This window comes from Homo sapiens, chromosome 13 (genome assembly GCF_000001405.40).
Source record: "Homo sapiens chromosome 13, GRCh38.p14 Primary Assembly".
NCBI classification, from domain to species: Eukaryota; Metazoa; Chordata; class Mammalia; order Primates; family Hominidae; genus Homo; species Homo sapiens.
Window position 1 is genome coordinate 67,290,275 of NC_000013.11, and position 21,123 is coordinate 67,311,397.

The 21,123-nt window shown below is 33.5% G+C and overlaps 1 long non-coding RNA gene across 2 annotated transcripts in view; it reads right to left on the reverse strand.

Annotated features, from left to right (window-relative positions):
* Positions 1 to 21,123, reverse strand: part of LOC105370246 (uncharacterized) — a 69,539-nt gene that overhangs the window by 33,681 nt on the left and 14,735 nt on the right. The window contains exon 3 of one of the 2 annotated variants that reach the window (XR_942037.1): positions 15,137 to 15,261. The exons of the other annotated variant lie outside the window; for it this stretch is intronic. This is a non-coding gene — a long non-coding RNA (uncharacterized LOC105370246). Of the gene's footprint in view, positions 1 to 15,136; positions 15,262 to 21,123 lie in introns of those variants that run through there. 2 annotated transcript variants of the gene reach the window in all.

The following is a 21,123-nucleotide window of genomic DNA, read 5'->3' on the forward strand; positions in this document are numbered from 1 at the left end:
ACAGGTTTTCACCCTGTTGGCCAGTTGGTCTCGAACTCCTGACCTCAGGTGATCCACCTGCCTTGACCTCAAAAAGTCAAGGGATTACAGGTGTGAGCCACCATCCCCAGCCAAAGGACATGTTCTAAGAGTCACACAAGCTACTTTAATTCACATTCCATTCCCTGTATCTTAGTAAACATATAATATAGCTGCGAGAGATGCTTAGAAATAGAGTCAGATCTGAGCAGTCATGTGTCCAGGTAAGAGAGGGGATATATTATTGAAAGGAGGAATGTGAATACAGTTTGTATTTACTACTTCTGATAATTGTGGCTTTCTCTTCTTTAAAACTTTACCATTCATCACATACATTCAATCTCCCAATATTTTGTTCACAAATCTTGTCTTCTCTTTTATTCTCTTTCTCTTTCAGTGTATCTTTCTTAACTATTATTTTAGTGAATTTGAGAAGCAAGTAAAAACTCATGTACTCCACCTTCCATATTAAATTGGAAGATACTTTCACAAAATAACCACATCTGTACAGCTAAAATATCTGCTAAAATACCTGCTATCGTATATATTTCAATTGATAAAGGAATTTTGCTAAGACCCTATTCTGTGTTCTCTCCAATATAATACTTATACTTAATTATCTGAAATAATGTGCCTTAAATTTTATTATTCATGATTTCCTATAGGAATAAATCTTTGATATTTTCATAGTTTTGGTAATTTAGTAACAAAATGTGTAAAATTTATTTTGAAATTAATACTGAGACATTGTTCTAGAGAAATGTGATTGGTTTAGAAATAGAACATTGCTTTGGAAAAATACATTTTTATAAATAGTAACATACTGAATACTTGAGGTAATGAATTTCTAGTTCACTACAACCCATTTTCCAATCCTATGATTTTAAGTCATTTTTATCTATTTATATAAAATCATCACACTTGCAGTTTTATTTACTCTGTCTCATACTGATTCATAATCTACATTAGCACTGGTATGCATCTCACTACTTATTTATCACAAGTACAGATTGTAATATTTGTATGACTATTTTCATCATAACTTTTATCCTTTCAATAATTGATTTTGAGCTCTCACTCTCTATATATGCTTTTTTATGATTCAATAAAAATGTGAATTTAAAAAATATAATTTCAACATGTACAGAGACTTAACCCCCTCTGTCTCAGGTGAAACTATTTAGTAACATGATAATGAATGTTCAGTAAGACAAAGGAAAATTAAAGCCCAGGAAGCATAGTAAAAGCCATTAAGAATACAAGACCATTATGATAGTAATAATAATTTTGAGAAAATATTAACAAAGTTTGAAATTCAAATTTGTGAAATGCATGTGACCAAAATTATTTTATAGCTTCTTGAAATAATTAAACTAATTGTGGATCTTTTGACAGACTGTCAGAGACTTTGATATTTTATATATATACATATATATACACAAACACACACACATATATATACACATATATACGTATTTTTATTTGAATATGCAAGCTTTAGAATTTTTGTTAAAATTCTAACTTACAAAATGTGTATACAAACTACTTTCCAGAAGGGAAGATAGCTTTTCTTCTTAAAGGATAACAAAGAACTTAACCAGTTATACTCTCAGGAGTGCTCCAAATTTGAAAGCAATAATTTCATTTTACAGATGTAAAATTTTTATTAGATCAACAATGAAACTGTTGTCACTTAAATAAGTAGCTCTTTCTATTAGTTTGTTCTCACATTACTATAAGGAACACCCTAAGACTGGGTAATTTATGAAGAACAGAGGTTTAATTGGCTCAGTTCTACAGGCTGTACAGGAAGCATGGCTGAGGAGGCCACAGAAAACTTACAATCATGGCGGAAGGGGAAGGGGAAGCAGGCATGTCTTACCGTGGCAGAGCAAGAGAGAGAGAAGGAATGGGGATGTGCTACATACTTTTAAACAACTAGATCTCGTGGTAACTCAGTATCATGAGAAGAGCAAGGGGGAAGTCCGCCCCATGATCCGATCACCTCTCATCAGGCCCTTCCTCCAACATAGGTGACTACAATTCAACACAAGATTTGGATGGGCACACAAATAAAAACCATATAACTCTCCAAAATAGATCTATATAGGATGATAGTTGGCTGTCAGTATAAAATGATCACCTGAAGAAACAACTTAAAATATAGATTCATAAAAACCACTCCTACAAATTTTAGCTCATAAAGTTGGGTGCAACTAAAGAATCTACATTTCATAAAACTTCCCTTACAGTTCAAGTTTGGGCACCAGTGATATACATGATAAGGCATAAAATTATTGAATGCCTAACATGGTGAGAGAATGTGTGAGATATTTTTCTGTGTGCTCTTATTTTACTCACAGAATAAACCTGTAAGGCAGACTTCATTATCCAAAATTCACATCAGAGGAAACTAAAGCTCATACAGGTTAAGTACTGTGGTCATACAAAATAGAAATTCTGGAACTTGTATAAAAATGTTATCCTATATGAATTAATTTCCTAGAGATCTCATAACAAAGTAACATAAACCAGGTGGCTTAAAACAAGAGAAATTTCTTTTATCACAGTTCTGGTGACTACAATTCCCAAATCAATGTATCTGTAGGGCCATGATCCTTCTGACATCTGTAGTGGAATCCTTTCTTGCCTTTTGCTAGCTTTTTGTTGCATACTACTGTCTTCTTATAAAGTCACAAGTCATATTAAATTAGGGGCTCACCCTATTCCAGTATTATCTCATCTTTATTATTGGTGGTTAAGTACTGTTGGTTAGGACTTCATCATATCTTCTATGGAGGAAACAGTTCAAACCACAAACCTTTCACTAAAACGTATGTTTCCAGTATGCCACACCACCTCCATAGATCAAACATATACATAATTTCCCTGGATTTCTAAATGGCAATAACCACTTTTTGAGCAGTGAAATTTTTGAATAATCTTTGAAAATAGAATACCTTTAGAAATGAGAAGGACTTGGGTAATATTTACCTTATCCTTTTTATTTCAAAGATGAAGAAAACTGAAGTTAAGAGACAAGAGACCTTATATAACTTGCTCAACGTCATGTAGCTAGTGAAACAGCATACGCCAGAACATTGATCTTCTGATCATTAAATAGGCCAGTTCCTTATTATAATATAATTTCGGCTGTGCTATAAATTTTATGAATATTTGTTTTCAAAAAGCAACATTCTCCTGGAATTGTTTGTCCTGAACTATCAACAGCATTATTTGTAATAAAGTAGGTTTTTCTCTGAATTTGTTCACACTAATACATCATCATGAAGGGTAAATTAATAGGATAATCCTTTAAAAATATTTCTACAGCAAATTCCCAACTCAATAACTATTAGATATTTGTTTTTAAATAGTTTTGTTCTTGAGTTGATACTGCTATTATTTTGATGATTGACTAAGGTAAAATAGTGTGATAAATCTTAAAATATTTAGAAAATAATTTAACAAGAAATGTGCCAGACTTCTAATTTTGACCAAATCAACCAAACAAAACATGTTGAGACAAATTAAGGAGATCTAAGTAAGTGAAAAAATATACAATATTAATTGCTTGGAAGATTCAGTATTGTTAAAATGTGGATTCAATACAAAATAATTCTGAAATGAATACAGCCTCAATCAAAATCTTGACACCTCTGTTTGGAGACATTGACAAGTGGGTTTTAAAATTTATATGAAATTCAAAGTTTCTAGAAAGCAAAGAATGTTCACTAAAGCAACAAAGCTGAAAGACTCACACTACCTTATTTCAATATTTACTGTAAAAGTTCAGTATTCTAAACAATTTGGTATTGTTTTAGGATTGAAAAATAGAACGGAAAGGAAAGTTGATTAGATTAAATTCATTTTCAACATCAGTGCCAAAGCAATTTAATGGAGAAAATGATATATTTTAAACAAATGTTTCCGGAACAATTTGATGAATGTAGTAAAATGAATCTTGATCTCCACATATCATACATAATAATTCAGGTCTGAATTAATTGGCATACACATAAAAGCTAAAAACTACAAAGCTTGTAGAAGAAAACACAGGAGACTATCTTTGTAACCTTAGAGTAGGCAATGATTTCTTAAATAAGACCCCAAAACCAAAAAAGAATAAAAAGTTATAACAATAAACTGGAATAAAACTATCCCTGCTCATGAAAACATGCAATAAAGAAAATGAAAGGCAAGATATAGACTTATGTAATTAGTTATTAGCCAATTAAAACTAAAACCACAATGAGAACAATTTCGCACCCACTACAGTGGCTAAAATTAAAGGGCAACACAAACTAGTAGCTCCACAAATATGGAGCAACTAGAACTCTCATATATTGGTGATAGATTGTCTTGTGTTTTGTATATACTCTTTGGTATTGCATGAAATATACACAATATTGTAATTATTTTGCCCTTATACATAAACAGAGGTGTTGTTTCACTCTCTGTTTTCAAGATCTTTTTCTTTTAGTTTTCAAAGTTTTCTCATACTGTATCTTGGTGTGGATTTCTTTAGGTTTACTTATTTATTTTTGTGTGGTTCACTCAGCTTCTTGTGTCAGTAAGTTTACGTTTTTTTGGTCAAATTTGAGTTTCGAGCCATTATTTCTTCAAGTTCTTTTTTAGTCTTACCTTCTTTCTCCTTGCCTTCTGGGAGTTGATGACATACATATTAGATTATTAGATAAAAATATATTGTCTGTTATAGTAGCACAGGTCTATGAGGGCTTTTTCATTTTCCTTTCAGTTTATGTTTTGTTTTGTAGATTGGATAATTTTCATTGTTCTATTTTCAAATTCACTGATTTTTCTTTATGTTCACTGATTTTTCTCTATGTTCTATTTTCAGATTCACTGATTTTTCTCTGTTTTCGCTATTGAGTCTATCCATTCAGGTTTTGGCTCCCATATTGTGTTTCAGTTCTGAAGTTCCCATTTAATTTTTCCTAGCAGGGAGAAGGAGTGGGACCTTGATAATGACAGGAAAGAGTGGATGTTAGGCACTGTAAGGAAGAATAGTTTTGGCTCCGTAGTTGGCTTTGTCTGACATCACCCTAGCAAAGAGGGTAGGGTGCTTTGTTAATCTTGCCAAGGGTGAAAGTCTAGATTGTCTATTAAACCTTGTTCTTAGGGGTGGAGGCAACAGGTTTTGTGTGTGTGTCTGGTGTTAGGGTGAAATAAAGCAGTTAATGTCTAAAAGTGTATGTCTTGCTATGCTGCACTTTTCTTGCTCTCCTAGCTAGAGAAAATAGACATCTTTTTTTTATTATTATTTGTTGTTATTTGTTTGTTTATCCGCCCCCATTGGATTCAGAGTTGCTGGCTACTTCATCTCCAAGTCTTGAATATCTGAAGCAAAAAAACAAAACGAAAACCTAGGGAACTCATCAACTTGCTTCTTAGGTCTCCAGTTTCCTGGACAGTCTGCCATTTTCTCTCTACTTTTTTCCAAGTCTCCTTATGTTTGTTTTACTACAATGACCAGGGTTTTTCACTGTACTGAGGAAGGAAAAATTGGTAAATGTATGTCTACCCCATCTTCCTAGAAGTGAAGTCTCAATTCCCCGTTTTTGAAATAAGGATTCACAGAGATTTCTCACACTTCTCGAGAACCTACAAGCACATTAAATTTTAAATTTTTATCAGCTGTTTTCTGTTTGTTTGTTTGTTTTTTAAAGTCCTTTCAGGGTACATTTACTACCATCACGATAAAATGCCAAAATATATTTTGGCATATTTTCAGAGGTGCGGAAAATTGAACTTTTCCAGGACTTAAATCTAGAGAGTGACTTATCTTCATGTCTTATTTTGATATTTGTTTTTTATAAATGTGTCCTATATTACTTTTTGAGAATTATAAATCAGTGATCCAGAAATATCATCAACCAAAGAAATTCAAAACCATTCAACCATCACCACTGTGAAACTAGACTCAAGGCTACTTTAAAAAGTAATACTAAGTGAAATGTATGGACACTGGTACATGGATGGTAATTAGTTTCATAATTATATTTATACTATTAGGATTATCATGTCACAACAGTAGGGATTACACATCCAATGGACCATAACAAATTCAAAATATGTTTTATCTAATTAGTTAATAACATATGACTAAGACTTTTGGATAGATTAAAGGTGGTTTTTAAAAATTAGTTTGTGTTTTAAATTATTCTTCAAAAATCGAGATTCACATACAGTAATTGAGATTTGGCTGTGTGAGGTTTCAGTTATCTGAGGTTAATTGTGGCTCAATAATATTAAATAAAAATTTTCAGAAATAAACAATTCATAAGTTTTTAATCGTATACTCTTCTGAGTAGTGTGACAAAATCTCATGCCCTCTCACTTTATCCCACTTGGGATGTGAATCATCCCATGGTCCAGCATATTTACACTGTATACGCCACATGCACCCCACCACACACACACCCAATTAGTCATTTAGTAGTCTTTTTGGTTGTCAGATTGACTGTTGTGGTATTGCAGGGCTTGTGTTCAAGTTAATCCTTATTTCACTTAATAATGGTCCCAAAGACCAAAAGTAGTGATGCTGGTCTTTCAGATATGCCAAAGAGGAGCCATAACTGGCTTCCTTTAAATGAAAAGGTAAAATGTATTATCTTAATAAAGAGGAAATCATGTGCCGAGGTTGATATCTATAATAAGAATGAATATTCTTTCCATGAAAGTGTGAAGAAGAAAAAATATTCATGCATAGTACATTTAGGGTTTGATGGTATCTGCAGTTTCAGACATCCACTGGGGGTCTTGGAATGTATCCCCAGTGAATAAAAGGGGACTACTGTACTCTGTTGTATTTACCCTTTTCATATGTCTCTTTCTTTTACTAACAAAGCTAAAATCAGCTATTTATACCATGGCTCAAGTCCCTGCCTTTCTTGTTCAATGCCAGAAATGTAGGTGCTAGTTTCATGTCATTTTTATTACACTCATCCCTAATTTGTTTCATCCTTTCCAAAGCTGTACATTCACTTTACTATTCACTGTGTCTTTCTTCCCCTTCATCACATAGTCTATTCCATTCATCACGCTCTTAGAACTCACTAAAAACACAATCTTACAAACAACCACAACTTCATTGTCCCTTAATCTTTCTGCTACATGATCTGGCAAAGTTAAAAACCCTCAATCAATCAGCTGTCCATTGCGTGTACTTCTTCACTCAGGTTGCTGAATGCTCTTGGGAAAAATCCCTCAATTGTATGGATTTGTGTCAGCACACAGTCATTGTCTGCAACCTCAACTGGAGGTTGTAAGCTGTTTGAAACAGGTATTATATTTATTTGTACTCAGTTTCTAACCCAATAAGTTGTAAATTCTAGGCACTCAAGAAATGCCACCTGATGGATTTGTTTTGCCAAATCCTATTTATCCAAACAATACTATTATTGTACGTTTGACACATTTCACATTTCTTGATTGTGAATTTATTTTGAAAAGATTTTAATTATTTCGTCTAATATGCTAGAGGAAATTTTCATGTAAATGACCTTTAAATACTACCAAAAATTGGTTTTAATTGTCCTCACTTTACTTATCACTTTCACTTCTCTTGCTGCTTCTGTCACTCAAGGAATTCACAAAGCGGTTCCAGACTTACTGGCATTTTGGTCCCCTGACTTGCAGCACATTATACCTCTAATTAAGTCTCTGTGTTATTTTAGTATTTTGCTTGTTTGGCTCAATATCTCTCTTCCTTTCAGGTTAAATGTTGTAAACAGAAAGCGAGTATAATGGCTGCCCAATCAAATTATAGAAGGAATGCTGAAAAGGTCAAAACAGCAAAACACACTATGGTAATTTATGTAATGTAGAATGTATTAAAATTTTGGCCTCATTTGACTCAAGAAAAAAGCACAATGGCACAATAGAAATGGCACAGTCTATTCAGAGTGAAATCTTACCTTCTAACTGGCAGAAAATTTTCACCTTTGTTTATTTCTCTCCTTTGGGAACGTCTCTCCCCTGGTTCAAAGGAAAAGTCATTCCTGTGCCCACTGGCAACCTCCTTTTCATTCTCCCTTTTTCATTTGTCATTAAGATGGGGAAGAAGCACATTAAATCTTTCTGCTCTTGTGAAACCCTCATAGACTTCATGTTCCTTCTTTTATATGCATTTCTCCCTTTTACAAGCATTGCTTATTAGGCTGACCAATGACACCCTTATTTAGTTTCTAGGGGTGTATGATGTACTGGCTTTGGCATGAGCCATTTAAACAAAAGCTAGTTGTTATAAATAAAAGCAGAGAGGGAAGGAGTATCACCACTGACTACTAAATTAACATGAATTTGGAATGAAGTGAGGAGGAACATCTTGGTTATTTCTATCAGGTAGTAGCTTTTGGATACAGATATTGTAAGTGTGTTGTTAAGGAGGTATGGGAACATACACTGAAATTATTAAAGCAACATATTTTTTTTCATTCTCATTATGCATTTGATACTGTGGTCACACGGAAGAGAGTAGAGGATGGCTTCCTTATTTAGAAATATTGTTTATATTGATGTGAGTTTAAATCATGTGAAAAGTATCCATAGAGACATTGATTATCTTAATATTTGTCTTACTGTGGCTAGCTAAATTATAAAAAGATACATTTATATATGTGTTAACTAGATGAAATAACTTATTGTTGATTACTGGGTTCCTTAAGAAGCTGACTCTGAGATGAAGTTTGGTGTGCAAGATGTTTTAGTGAGGACTCTTGGGATCAATAACTGTGGAAGCAAGGAAGAAAACACTGGACAGAGAGAGAAGTCACACTCCAGCCCAGCCATGGATGAGCCAATTAATGACAAATGACAAGGGGATGACAAAAAGTGGGTTGCCAATGGACACAGGAATGACTTTTCCTTTGAACCAGGGAGACATGTTCCCAAAGTAGGGTGGCTCTAGAACTTGAATGGGATTTCAGAGTTGTCCTTGATTTTGCTGAGCAAAGCAAACCTCTGTATCCCCACTGAGATTTGTCATTGTGATTAGGCTGCTCTGGGATGGGGCTTGTCCTTAGGCCAGGAGACTCTATGAAATTGAAACCATACTTAAAAGGACTGACAGCTGAAATATGTCTACTCACAATGCACCAAGAAGCTGACTCAATGAGTTATTCATTAAAGAGGAGTCTGTCTGGAATGTTCTCCAGCTAAGTGTTGCCAAGTGACTAAGTTCTCTGTAATACAATTGAAGTTGAAGTAATCTGTGCAGTGTTTGAGCCTCTTTCTCAAAAGGAAGTAGCCTGTCCTCACTGTGATTGTTTCTGTTTCCGTAGGCTGAACAATGCATTGAAAATGACCCATTTAGGGACATATAGATGAAATCAATACCTAGGGAAGGAAAGAGCAACAAAATAGAAGGAACTTGAGTTCCTTCATGGACAGGGCTTCACAGAGGCATGATGTCTTCAAGTCTGGACCACACCCAAACTGCATATGTGAGAGAAATAACTCATATTTAAACTACTGTATTTTGTGGTCTATTTGTAACCAACTTAGTCTTTAATTAACACAGAAAAGAGTACCTGGATGTGAGCTGCTATAAACAAAACCCCAATTTATGTGGCACTGGTATTGCTATAAGATGATAAGATGAAAAAAGATGGCATGAGAGTTCTAGCTGGAAACATGATGACTCATGTTGGACCTGGCAAAACAGTTGTAAAGCTATCACCCGTGAAAACTTCAATGGCAGACCATATGCTTACCAAGTCTGTAGTTTTACTAGAATGTTAGAGAAATTCAGACTAACGATGTGTTTTGGCGGCTCTTTGCTGTTTTAGCAAAATTACTAGAAAAGAGAGCTGAGATTAGGCAAGAACTGATAATTTTTGCAGCCCTATATGGAAGAAAATATAGCATTGCTAAGAGAGGCACTCTCTGCCTCCAATATGCAATTATATTGATGGAGCAACCAATAATCTAGGCTCAAAAAGCATTAAAATACCAACAGCTTTTTTATCCTAAATAGCAGAAGATGAGATTGTCACTTGCAGCCTATCTTTAGGGCCTCCAAATTAAACCTTTTAGACAGAACAGGGAGCCAGTCTCTGGTAAAATTGTGATGGAGGACGTTACTTTCCAACTTAACTGTATTGTTTCAGGGTATTTTCAATTTAGCTGCCTGTCATTGGAGAGTGGATGTGTCTTCTCAGAATAAGTAAATAAAAGAGAAGAATTGGGAGGCTCAAGGTGTATGTCTAGAAGAAATCTTTGAGTCTTGTGATTTTAACAGAGGACTGACTGGAAGAAAATAAGGTGAAAACCTCTTGTTTTGTTGAGATAATTTTATTTCCAAGGACACCAAACCAAATGCCTAGTCTACCAATGCCAGTTATTTGCCTAGATAGAATGATATAGTTTTTGGTTACATATTGAGTGAGGAGTAGTGATATAAAATGTGTATTAGTTTATAGGGTACCAAATTTCAAAGGTTATATTTAGGCTTGGATGGAGAGGACGATGCTTGACTAAGAGATTCCAAACTTTGAGTAAAGCATGATAACTGGTGGAAGGAGTCTACAATGTGAGAATGAAGAAGGACACATGTGTTTGGTTTCATTTGTTCCAAGTTGCTCCAAATCCATTCTTGTATTACAGTAGATTTTTTTTGGGCATATGACTACTGAGACATCTTCCAACCTCCCTTGCATTAAGTTATGACTGATTTTTTTTCAATGGAATGTTAAAATGAATGACCATCCAACTCATTCATTAAATGAATTTTTTAGACTGCCTTTTCTCTCTTCACAGGATACAATATGGAAAAGTGTTGACTTATTTTCAGTAATGCAGATGAGAATAATGTTTTGGTAATGGCAAAGCAAAAAATGTAAAATGAACTTCGAACCCTACTTATTTCCTGGAGTAGGGTCATCTGACCTGCCACTCATTTCTAGACTGTCATGAGAAAGAAAAAATACATTCAGTTTATTTAATCCACTATATTTTGGGTTTTACAGTTTATTTATTTTTAAAATCAAAGCCTTTACTGCAGCTCATATATACCAGCAGTTTAACTTTTGTACAAGTTCTATTGTTTTTTTTCTATAATAAGGAGCTATAAACAGGCAAAGTTTGTTATGATTAACTACATAAATAGCTACAGATTATTGCTCCATAAAGTATTAATTTTGCCAAAAATTGTTTTATCTCATTGTGGCAAAAGTATTTTGACATAATATGACATAATTTTCAATAAAGTACAGTAGACAGTTGGTGTATACAAATATTATCACAAGAAAAAATAATATCGGTTGCATAGATGTCTTGAAATTCAAAAAGACTTTTCTTCAATTGCTAAATTCTGTTCTTCAGAATTTTAGAATTCTTTCAGAATTCTGTTCTTCCAATTTTAGATTTTCCAAACGTACAAACTGATAATCAGTTCCTCGATCTTGACCTCACATATTGGATACATCTGCAAGTCCTTAAGCATTAACACTAAAACTATGATCATATGACTATTCTACTCTTTTTTTTTAAGTGAACAACAAAAACTCCTAAATGAGACAATAAACAGAAATTCAAATATGCTTATTGAAATTTAAGAATTCAACTCCATTAAAGCAGTTGGTTAGATCTGTCCTTTGTTCTGGTTTAAGTTCATAGGTTCACCAACAGTTTGTCTGTTGTCTGGGGCACAATGGCAGATGACATTGACAAACTGACATTTTTTTTTTTTTTTGCACCAAAGCATACTTTAAACATTTTTTGAAAAGCAACTAATGAGTGAGTAAATATATTACTCATTAGCATCCAGTGATTAAACTTCCATTTTTCCATCTATTTCTCTACACTCTATAATTTACTGAGAGCCCAGAGATACCATTCATGTTATTCAGGTAGTCTCCCATTCTCCATTTCAGGGCCACTTTTCCCCTAGGGCTGCCTGTACCTATACGTTATACTAATCAAAATTTAGAAAGTAGTTTGTAATCATTCAGAAGGTTGATGAATTACAGTGTCAGACTGGGGCAACTATTAATATAATTCAAATGATGTTCAATTTTATAAACTGGTAGGCATGGTGGCACTTTAAAGATTTTCCTTATTCAAGCTATGTATTAAACATTAAAAAATGATTAACAACAGGGATTTTCATTGTTGCTTACATTGCACTAAACTCTTAAGGTACTGAGGAGCATTGAATTTAGTTTATTTGTGGGGAGAAAGTTTTATTTATTTACAGAATTTTGAAATTTAGTTAAAAAAATAAGCTAATTACTTTTGGAAAAATTTAAATCTTTAACTCTGTCAAATGTGTATTGATTTGATCCAAACCAATTCAGGATGATATCCATCAGTATTATCTTTTTATAGTTGCTTTATTAAAAGTGATTATTATTAATAATATGAATAGAAGTCAATTATCATAGAAGAAATGGAAATATGTAGACTGCAGTTGTGTGCATATGACTATCTGTTGACCTTCTTTTTCCTATCATAAGCAAGAAAAAATAAATCATAAATCATAAGTGAGAAAAAGAATTAGAATTTATTATTCTTCATATGAAAAACATCCACAATCATTAATAAAGTATTCATACATAGCTTATCCTACCCCTTTAGTTATTTCAACTTGCTTTATTTATTTATTAATAAAAATATTAGAATCATTTTCCATAATTATGCCAAATTGTCAGTTCAAATAGTGTCACAAAATCAAGTTTCATTACCAAACGGCTTTTTAGCAATTCCAATGTACTATAGTTCATACTGAAAATGTTTATTTTTTTCAAAACCTACAGGCACACACCCGATTTTCTCACCCTCCCAGAATTATGGAATGATACAGAGATGGCTAATTTACCAAGATGTCCACCTAAGCAATTTGGAAATAATAAAATTTCTACATTTTTTTTCATTTTTATTTTATTGGCATTTGAGTCATGCAGATACACAGGTTATATTATACTGACACGTATTTGCGTATCTTTACATATTTCATTATTATTTGACTTTTCATCTCTTGCTCTTCTTCATTTACTGGTTCAATCTCCTATGTTCTTTTTATACATTGTTGGAATAACTTTTCAATTAACTACATGTAATCTGCCATTAAATCTAACCCCTTGTACAGTAAGGACATATTTATTATTTCCCTATGGATCTATGCTCAAGCAAGTAGCCCAAAGATTTTTTTTTTCTGAGAGGCAGATTTCTGTTTCATACAGGGCTTGATGTGAAGGAAGCAAGGTTGTATTATAACGTCTTTATTTGTCACTTACTTCCCTCACTGCATGCCAAACAGATAGAGCTTTAGGAATTTTTGAATTGTGGCATCGTTTGGCACATCAAAGTAATGAGCCTGGGTTTCTAATAGCATACATCCTGTGATGTACTTCTGCTATGTAAGTCCCTCTACGCAGAGTTACCTTAAAGTGGCTCATTATTTAGAGTCTGTGTAAGAAAAGTATTTCCAGTGGACAAGGAAAAAAGTCCTCTTTAGAGCAAAAGTTGTCTAATGCCTCCCAGGTGTGTAAGAAAGGTGAAAAACTACAGCTCATCTGATGCGCTGCTCATGACTAAGTGGGCTTGTTAGTTCCCTGAACGAAGACTCATCTGCCCTGTATTTCCGTGGTTTAATTTAATGGACAGATTCTCCAATAAAGGTAGATGGAAATAAATGCATTAGACAGCTCAGGCAAGGAGCAAAAGGAAAAGGATTTAACCGTCAGGGTTTTTATACTTTGAAATGATATGTTGTTTCAAACAATCTCAATTTCTCTAGCTGAAGTTTATTATTCTTTTATCTGATTCTTACTGCCATCTGGCTCCTGCACAAGTGCAAATCATAAGCAAGAAAAAGCAGAGCTAATTTTCTGTGTCAGCTTAATAAATAAAAGCTGTGAGATATGGCTAGCTATCATTAAAGCTATCTATCATGAAATATTGATCAAAATAGGCTACTTTTTTAATGCCTAGATATGGGATGGCAATTAGGATTATTTGAAAAAAGGGTGAGCATTAATCTGTAGTGTGCGAGGCTATATTGATTTTGGAGAATGACTTGGTAAAGCAACAGATATTTTCTACACATTTCTAATGAATCAATCTGTTGAATGCTTTCATAGTATAGATTTTATTAACTGAAAACATAATAATTAATTGATTAACTGAACTTTCACTTGCATATAAATAACTTTATATTAAGGTCCTTAAATGGTATAAAATATAAGTTGCAATTTGGGTAGAAATTATAAACCTAATAGAGAAAATATTATCTAAAGGAGAGGAAGGCAGGCATCCTTCTCATTCTCAGTTCATTGTTGGCTTTTTTTTTTTTCATCAACTTTTACTTTAGTTCCAGGATACATGTGCAGGATGTACAAGTTTGTTACATAGGTAAATGTCTTCCATAGTGGTTCGCTACACAGATCAACCCAGCACCTAGGTATTAAGCCCAGCATCCATTAGCTATTCTTCCTGATGCTCTCCCTCCTGCCAGCTTTCTGAGAGGCCTCAGTGTATGTTGTTCCCCTGCCAATATGTCTATGGCTTTTTATATATCAGAGGTAGGTTTAAATTGCCCATTTTTCATTGTTCCTTGTTCAGAGGAACAGAAATATTTTCTTCTACAGTAAATACAATGATTTACTGATATGAAACTTAAAATTGTTAAGAACTATTAAAATTATAAAAATATTTTTAAATGCCTGTTCAAAAGACGTTAACCTCTTATAGTGTTATAATAATTTTGTTTTGCTTCATGGCATTAAAATTAGTAGTTACTTTTAGAAAGTACACAAGATTATTTTATCAAATAGAGTTACTGTAACTTGTCATAGGATATATGTCCACATATATGGTCCATATGCATAAATATTTCCCATAGGAGTCAGTCACATCTTCTTTCAGATGGAGCAATTTACCCTTTCTAGTGTAGAATTCTGTGAAGCCAGTTATCAACTAACATTATAGCCAGATGTATTTATATAAGAAATGGAAAATTGCCTCAATGAGACTTCTGTTTTTTTAATAATTTCTTGGGTATTAATTCCATATTTGTAAGAGCTGAATAACTTTATTCTGTCTTGATAATTTTCTGTTTTAAAAACACAAGAGTCAACATTGTACTTACTTTAATCACTTAAGAAATGAAAATACTGTGGTAGTCGTTTTCTAAGGTAGTCCCCAGTGACCATTCCTTCTGGCATTTGTGCTCTTCTGTAATCCCCTCTGGAGTGTTGGTGGGACTTCTTAAACTTTCTTCTGAGGAATAGAGTATGTCAAATGCGATGGGATGTCACTTTCAAGTTTAGGTTATAAAAAGACTATGGCTTTTCTCGTGGGTACTCCATCTTGCTCTCTGTTAGATCATTAACCCTGGGGGAAGCCAGCTGCCATGTCATGAGGAAGCTCTATGGTGAGGATCCAAGACCTGCCAACAACCACATGAGCCTTCACATGAGGCTGCAGCTCTGCCAACAGTTTGATTTCATCCCGTTGGGACTGTAAGCCAGAAGACCACGTTAGACTATAATTAGAATCCTGACCCACAGGAACTGTAGAATAAAATGGTTTTTTAAGCTGTTAAATTTAGAGTAATTTGTTATGTGATAATAGATAACTAACACAGATGTTTTAGTAAGTTTTGGATTTTTTTTTAGTTTTCCATAGAGATAGAGCTCATGTTTTTCATAGTTAGTTGTCTGAAAACAGGATGCTTTGCATGTAGATGACACTATGTGCCTGAATCATGATATTTACAAAGCTAAATTCTCAAGTTAAATTCTCAGATAAAATTAATTACATTGATATGAATCCTGCTGGATCTATGAAACTAAAATAATATAATTGGTGAAAGCATAGGCATATGCTAACATAAATAATTTAGAGAAGTGATTGCTGTGAGACAACTGAGAATACTATTTTTGTGAAGCAAATAGGGAGAAAGTGGAAAACTATGTTAATGCTATGGTATTTATTTCAGAATAACACACATAAATTCTAAAATAAGTTCTTTATGTGCTTTTATATAACATGTAGTAATTTCACTTATTCGATGTTTTCTCCAGTTTAGGAGTATTTATACTTCTTGTTCTCTATTTTTCTAGATCTAGATATTAATACCAACACTTACTTGAATAAATTAATAGCACTTGATCCCTAATTCTTAAAATAATGTCTTAAAAATCATTTGAGAAAACAGTTAATGAATAATTAATTTTATCTGAAAATATAAAACAATAAAAATGAGAAATAAAAATATAGCTTACTTTGCTAGATTTTAGAGCATATAAATACTGCATGTATTTACGCTTGAAAAGGATGTCGTATATCTATCAATGCACTAGATATGATAATTTTTTATTTGTAAGACAGAACTGGAAACTCTTTACAAAATGGTTACTGATATAACACTCTAACAGAGTAAAAGCATAGAGTTTAATAATAAAGTATGACCTTTGTGACCTTAATGGACAAGGTTGAACATTAGCATTAAGTTCCAAGCCATTTGAATGCATAAAGCACAGTGTTAATATCTAATTTTGAATGAATTTTGGACTGCCCACAAATGCCTTACACCACTTCCTGAGCCATTTCATCAACAGCTTGCTAGACTGCATCCAGTTCACCATCTGGAAGTGTCACTTGCTACAAAATAAACCTGCTCCCTGGATGACAGCAGGATACCTAAGCATCTGCTGTTTAATAAGCTGCAGCAGAACATCCACCAGCAGCACAGAAAGGGGCAATATTTCAAGGAAATGATGGAATCATTTAATATTAGCCCTTGAATGCACCTTAGGGATTCATCTAATTCATCATTTTCAAGGTGTATTCCATGGGATACTAGTAACTGCCGTATGACAATAGGGACTCCATGTTTAAAAAATAAAAAGCTCCTCCAACCCTCAATTAAGTTTAGATAATGCTATGTTAACAAAGACAAGTCAGAATTGATATCAAATGATAATGCTGTAAACTGTATGGTCTTAATTAGGATATAAGACATTTAAAAAGTATATACACATATATATATACACACACATATATATATATACACACACATATATATATATATCCAGAAATAAGGCATAACATAAAAACTAACCAAAAAAATGAGGCACAATTAGCGGGTGGGGGAAAGGCAACAGAGGTTTGGAATCTGCCTTCACAGAGGAGTAATTGTACAATGGAAAGAACATTTCATTTTGCGGGGTCGGTCCTGTATTTCATCTTTGATAATTCTGCTTTTTCTTTTCATTGTGAAAGATAATTGCTACTTCTTTTTACTTTCCTAATCCCTTTCTCTTCTTAATTTACCTCTCAGATAAAAGATCAAATTTGGACAAATTTTGAAGAAATCCTAGACCTAAGTCCCATAGACTGGGGAAAATGCTAATCTGCGTGATATTTATAAACTTCCAACCATAGATTTTGTTCTCTAAGTCACAGTCATGTCTCTAATATCACAATCACAGGTATGATTTTCAAATTTATACTAGTTCATATTCCTTTGTTATTGCCTTTTCTTAAATTATGAAGTATTTTAAGCATATATAAACATATAGAAAGAAATATTACAAATGTTTATATGCCTACCACATAGTGTAATATATCCTAACATTTTCCCATATTTCATTCAGATTTGTTTTTGAGAGATAAAACATTAAAAATATAATTAAAGCTCTTTGTATCTTTCTTTTATGCCATTTTTCTCTTCTTTTCCAAGAATTCAGAGTCAAGAGTATGTGAACTTTTTTATGTTGAAATTAATACAAAATAATCACTACTTTCCTGGCCTTTTTTCCAAAGTATCCTGATCTTCTGTGACTTCAGGTAAAACAAGTTTCTCTCTTTGACTCATGCAGAGTATTTAGATTACATCATCTTTTTTCATAAAATCCTGAGCCTAAAGTTTCTTTTTTCCCCTCTTTGGTGGTGTAATTTGCAGAACAACAATCATGAGTTATCAAGGAGGAATTTCGATGCCATGTTTCAGGTTAAAGGTGTGTGCCTCATTACAGTACTGTGAGTATCTTATTTCTAAAGAGCAGCAGCACTAAGCTTCTCAGAGAGAAAAAAAAAAGCATCAAATTTGTACAAATTGGAAAAATAAAGTGCCAACAGAGAGACAACAGAACATGTTTTAGGGAAGCAGAAGTTCCATAGAAAAATAGCCTGTGGAGTCTGTGTATTTAAAGAATCAACTTTCAGCCATTACAGACTGAGAGAAAAAAATTGTTTCCAGTTAGTGAACATGTGAGGATGGTTTCGGTATTACTTAGAGTTCTCGTTTGATGGCTGCAGGTAGAAACACTGCTAACTCCAGTTTGCTTTACAGTCAGCTACGTAATTGGTGCTGAAGATAGTGAAACTTGCACAGAGATATTGTCCATCTCCTAGGAGATGAAACCTCCATGACTTTATAATAAGGGAGAAATGAAAAACATTGCAGTCTAATGAGGACAACAGTTAGGTGAAATTTTCACTAATGAGAAATTGATTGAAAAAGAAGCAGAGATCCAGTTAAACATGGTGGGTTGAACACATGCTTCTATCTACACATTCTCTGGAAACTCTGTCAATGTAACAATGAAGAATTTTAAAAAGTTATAAACATATAAGCATCAAGAAAGGAGAGTCAAGAAGATAGTATATATGTCAACAAGTTTGAAATGTGGGTGAAACTCAGCAGGGTTGAGAAAGTTGATAGTTAAGCTTTCAGGGAGATGGTTAAGAAATACTTTAGATATTATGAAAAGTCTCAGGAATGGGAGTGTGTTATAAAAAGGTGTGCTGCTTTGGTTAGAAGCCAGAAGATTGTTTGAAAATTTGTTATAAAACGTTATCAAAGGTTCTCTTGTCCCTCATGCACAGCCAGGCAATGCTGGTGAGTATTCTATAGATTCCTCTCTGAAGTTGAATTAGAGGACTGCAGAAATACACGTGAAGATGGTACTGATGGAATAAAAACAGGAGTAAGTGAGATTTTTACATGCTTAACAGGTGATTCCTCACCTCCTTCTTGAACTTGCTTGTAGATTGGGGCAGACATTTTCAGATTGGAACTATTCTTTCTGAGGAAGAAAAACCTGGAAACTTAAGAGAAAAGAGCTACATATTCTCAACTAGGCTGATGGATCTCAATAATAATCAATGGCTAATCAACTCAGAGCAGGGGATTACTTGTGCCTCTTTCCTCAATAGGAGTTGAGAGGCAAGGAATGTGAGACATCTGTGGAGAATGGTTAATACGAGAAAAAGAGACCAGCACAAGAGAAACACCCAGAATGACAGTCACACAGCTGACATATAGAGGAGACTATTTATATTGGAGCAGGAGAACTGAGAATTCCAGTAACACTTTCTCCAAAAAAAAGAAGGAAAAAAAGAAACTAATAGAAATACTGATGTGTTTGTTTTAAAGGAGATATTCACTTCTATGGGCAAGTTTGAGGATAAATTAAAGTACACAAAAACACCTCTCATTAGTTATAAATATGCTGTACTATAACTATGAGGGGGAAAGAAATTGTACAAGAAAGGAAATAGTATACCAATATATCACATAACTCAGCTACAGATCATAGTCAAAAATTAAAGGAAAATGTTAATAGAAATAATAAAGAGCATATTACCCAATATTTTCTTCTAGCTACACTGAAAGGATAGCATCATTTGGGGAATGTCTGTTTTGGATTAATGTAGATAGGAGGGTTATGGTGGTTGTTTGAAGGTAAGGAAGATAAGCCCCAAACATCCAAAGATATAATTTCATAGGTAATAGTTAAAAATAAATAAGTTAGATATATAATATCTATGACTAAAAAAATCAAGAAGAAATGTGTATAAAGTTACAATAAAAGATGACACGAAAATTGCTGCCTCTGGGAATGGCATATAAAGAAAGACGAGGCACACCTAATTTTTCATAACAAGTTTCCTACATCTCTGATTGCAAATCCATGGACATGTACTATTTTGCTAAAAATAAAACAATTTTCAGAGAAAAGGGAACAGAGGAAGAAAAGACAAAAATGTGCAGGATGATCTTTGGCAGGGGGTTCATATACCAACAAAAGGAAAAGACTCCCATAGCTTCAAGGAGTGTGAAAACAAGGTGGTAAGGATTGGTAAATATTGTAGATATTCTTTGAGCTATTTAGAAAAAATATAGATTTTTTATATTATGGAAAGGATGGAGAGAGAAGGATCTAGAGGAGGTGACAAGGTTCTTGTGGGCAAGAAATATCAACCTGGACTATTATACTGGACATTTAACATTCTTGCTGCATAGTAGAGAACTGCTGGAGTAACTATGCATATACATTGCTTCAGTTGACATGGAGGTATAGGATTGGAATATAGTGAGTGTGGATGCTTATGTCAGTTACACTATGTCTGGGGTACTCATTTTTGGTTGACAATGGGAAATTGGGGAAGCAGTAAGTAATAAGTATCCAGCTTCAAAGAAATAATCTTGCCAAGATAAAACAGCATGGGCATGCAATAACCAAATAAAGGACAATGCATCTCTTCAGTGATGAATAGAGGCCAGCCAAGATATTTGTTCTTAGTCATACTTGCCTAAATGTTCTAATAAATATTTATTTAAGAGTTCATGATAATTAATATAGAATCTATATAGAATTAATATAGAATATGTAGATAATACGATATAGAATTTTATATATAGAATATTTATAGTTAATATAGTAACCTAATATAGGTTACTGAAAGCAGTCTTGTTGTGTGGGCCTATGTATCTCCTCTCATTCCACAGTGTGGACTCTTTCTTTCACAACTAATTATCTGATGTCTTTGTAAAGTCCATACTTTAAAAAGTGTTCCTTTCCAGACACATAGACAACTGGATAGAGTGAATGCACTTGAAGAACAACATTTAGTTTCCTGATGACTTGAGTGGAAAAACCACTTTAGTATCTTTCTCAGAGCCATCCAGAATAGACACATTTCGGTCCATGTTTCATAATTTCTAACATAATGTCTTTAACTATGAAATTGAAATAATTAAATTAGAAACTTAAAAATTCAGTATCCTGCGGGACCTGAGCGTAAGATTTGGAATCATATGACCATTTATTAATTGAATAACTCAAGGGA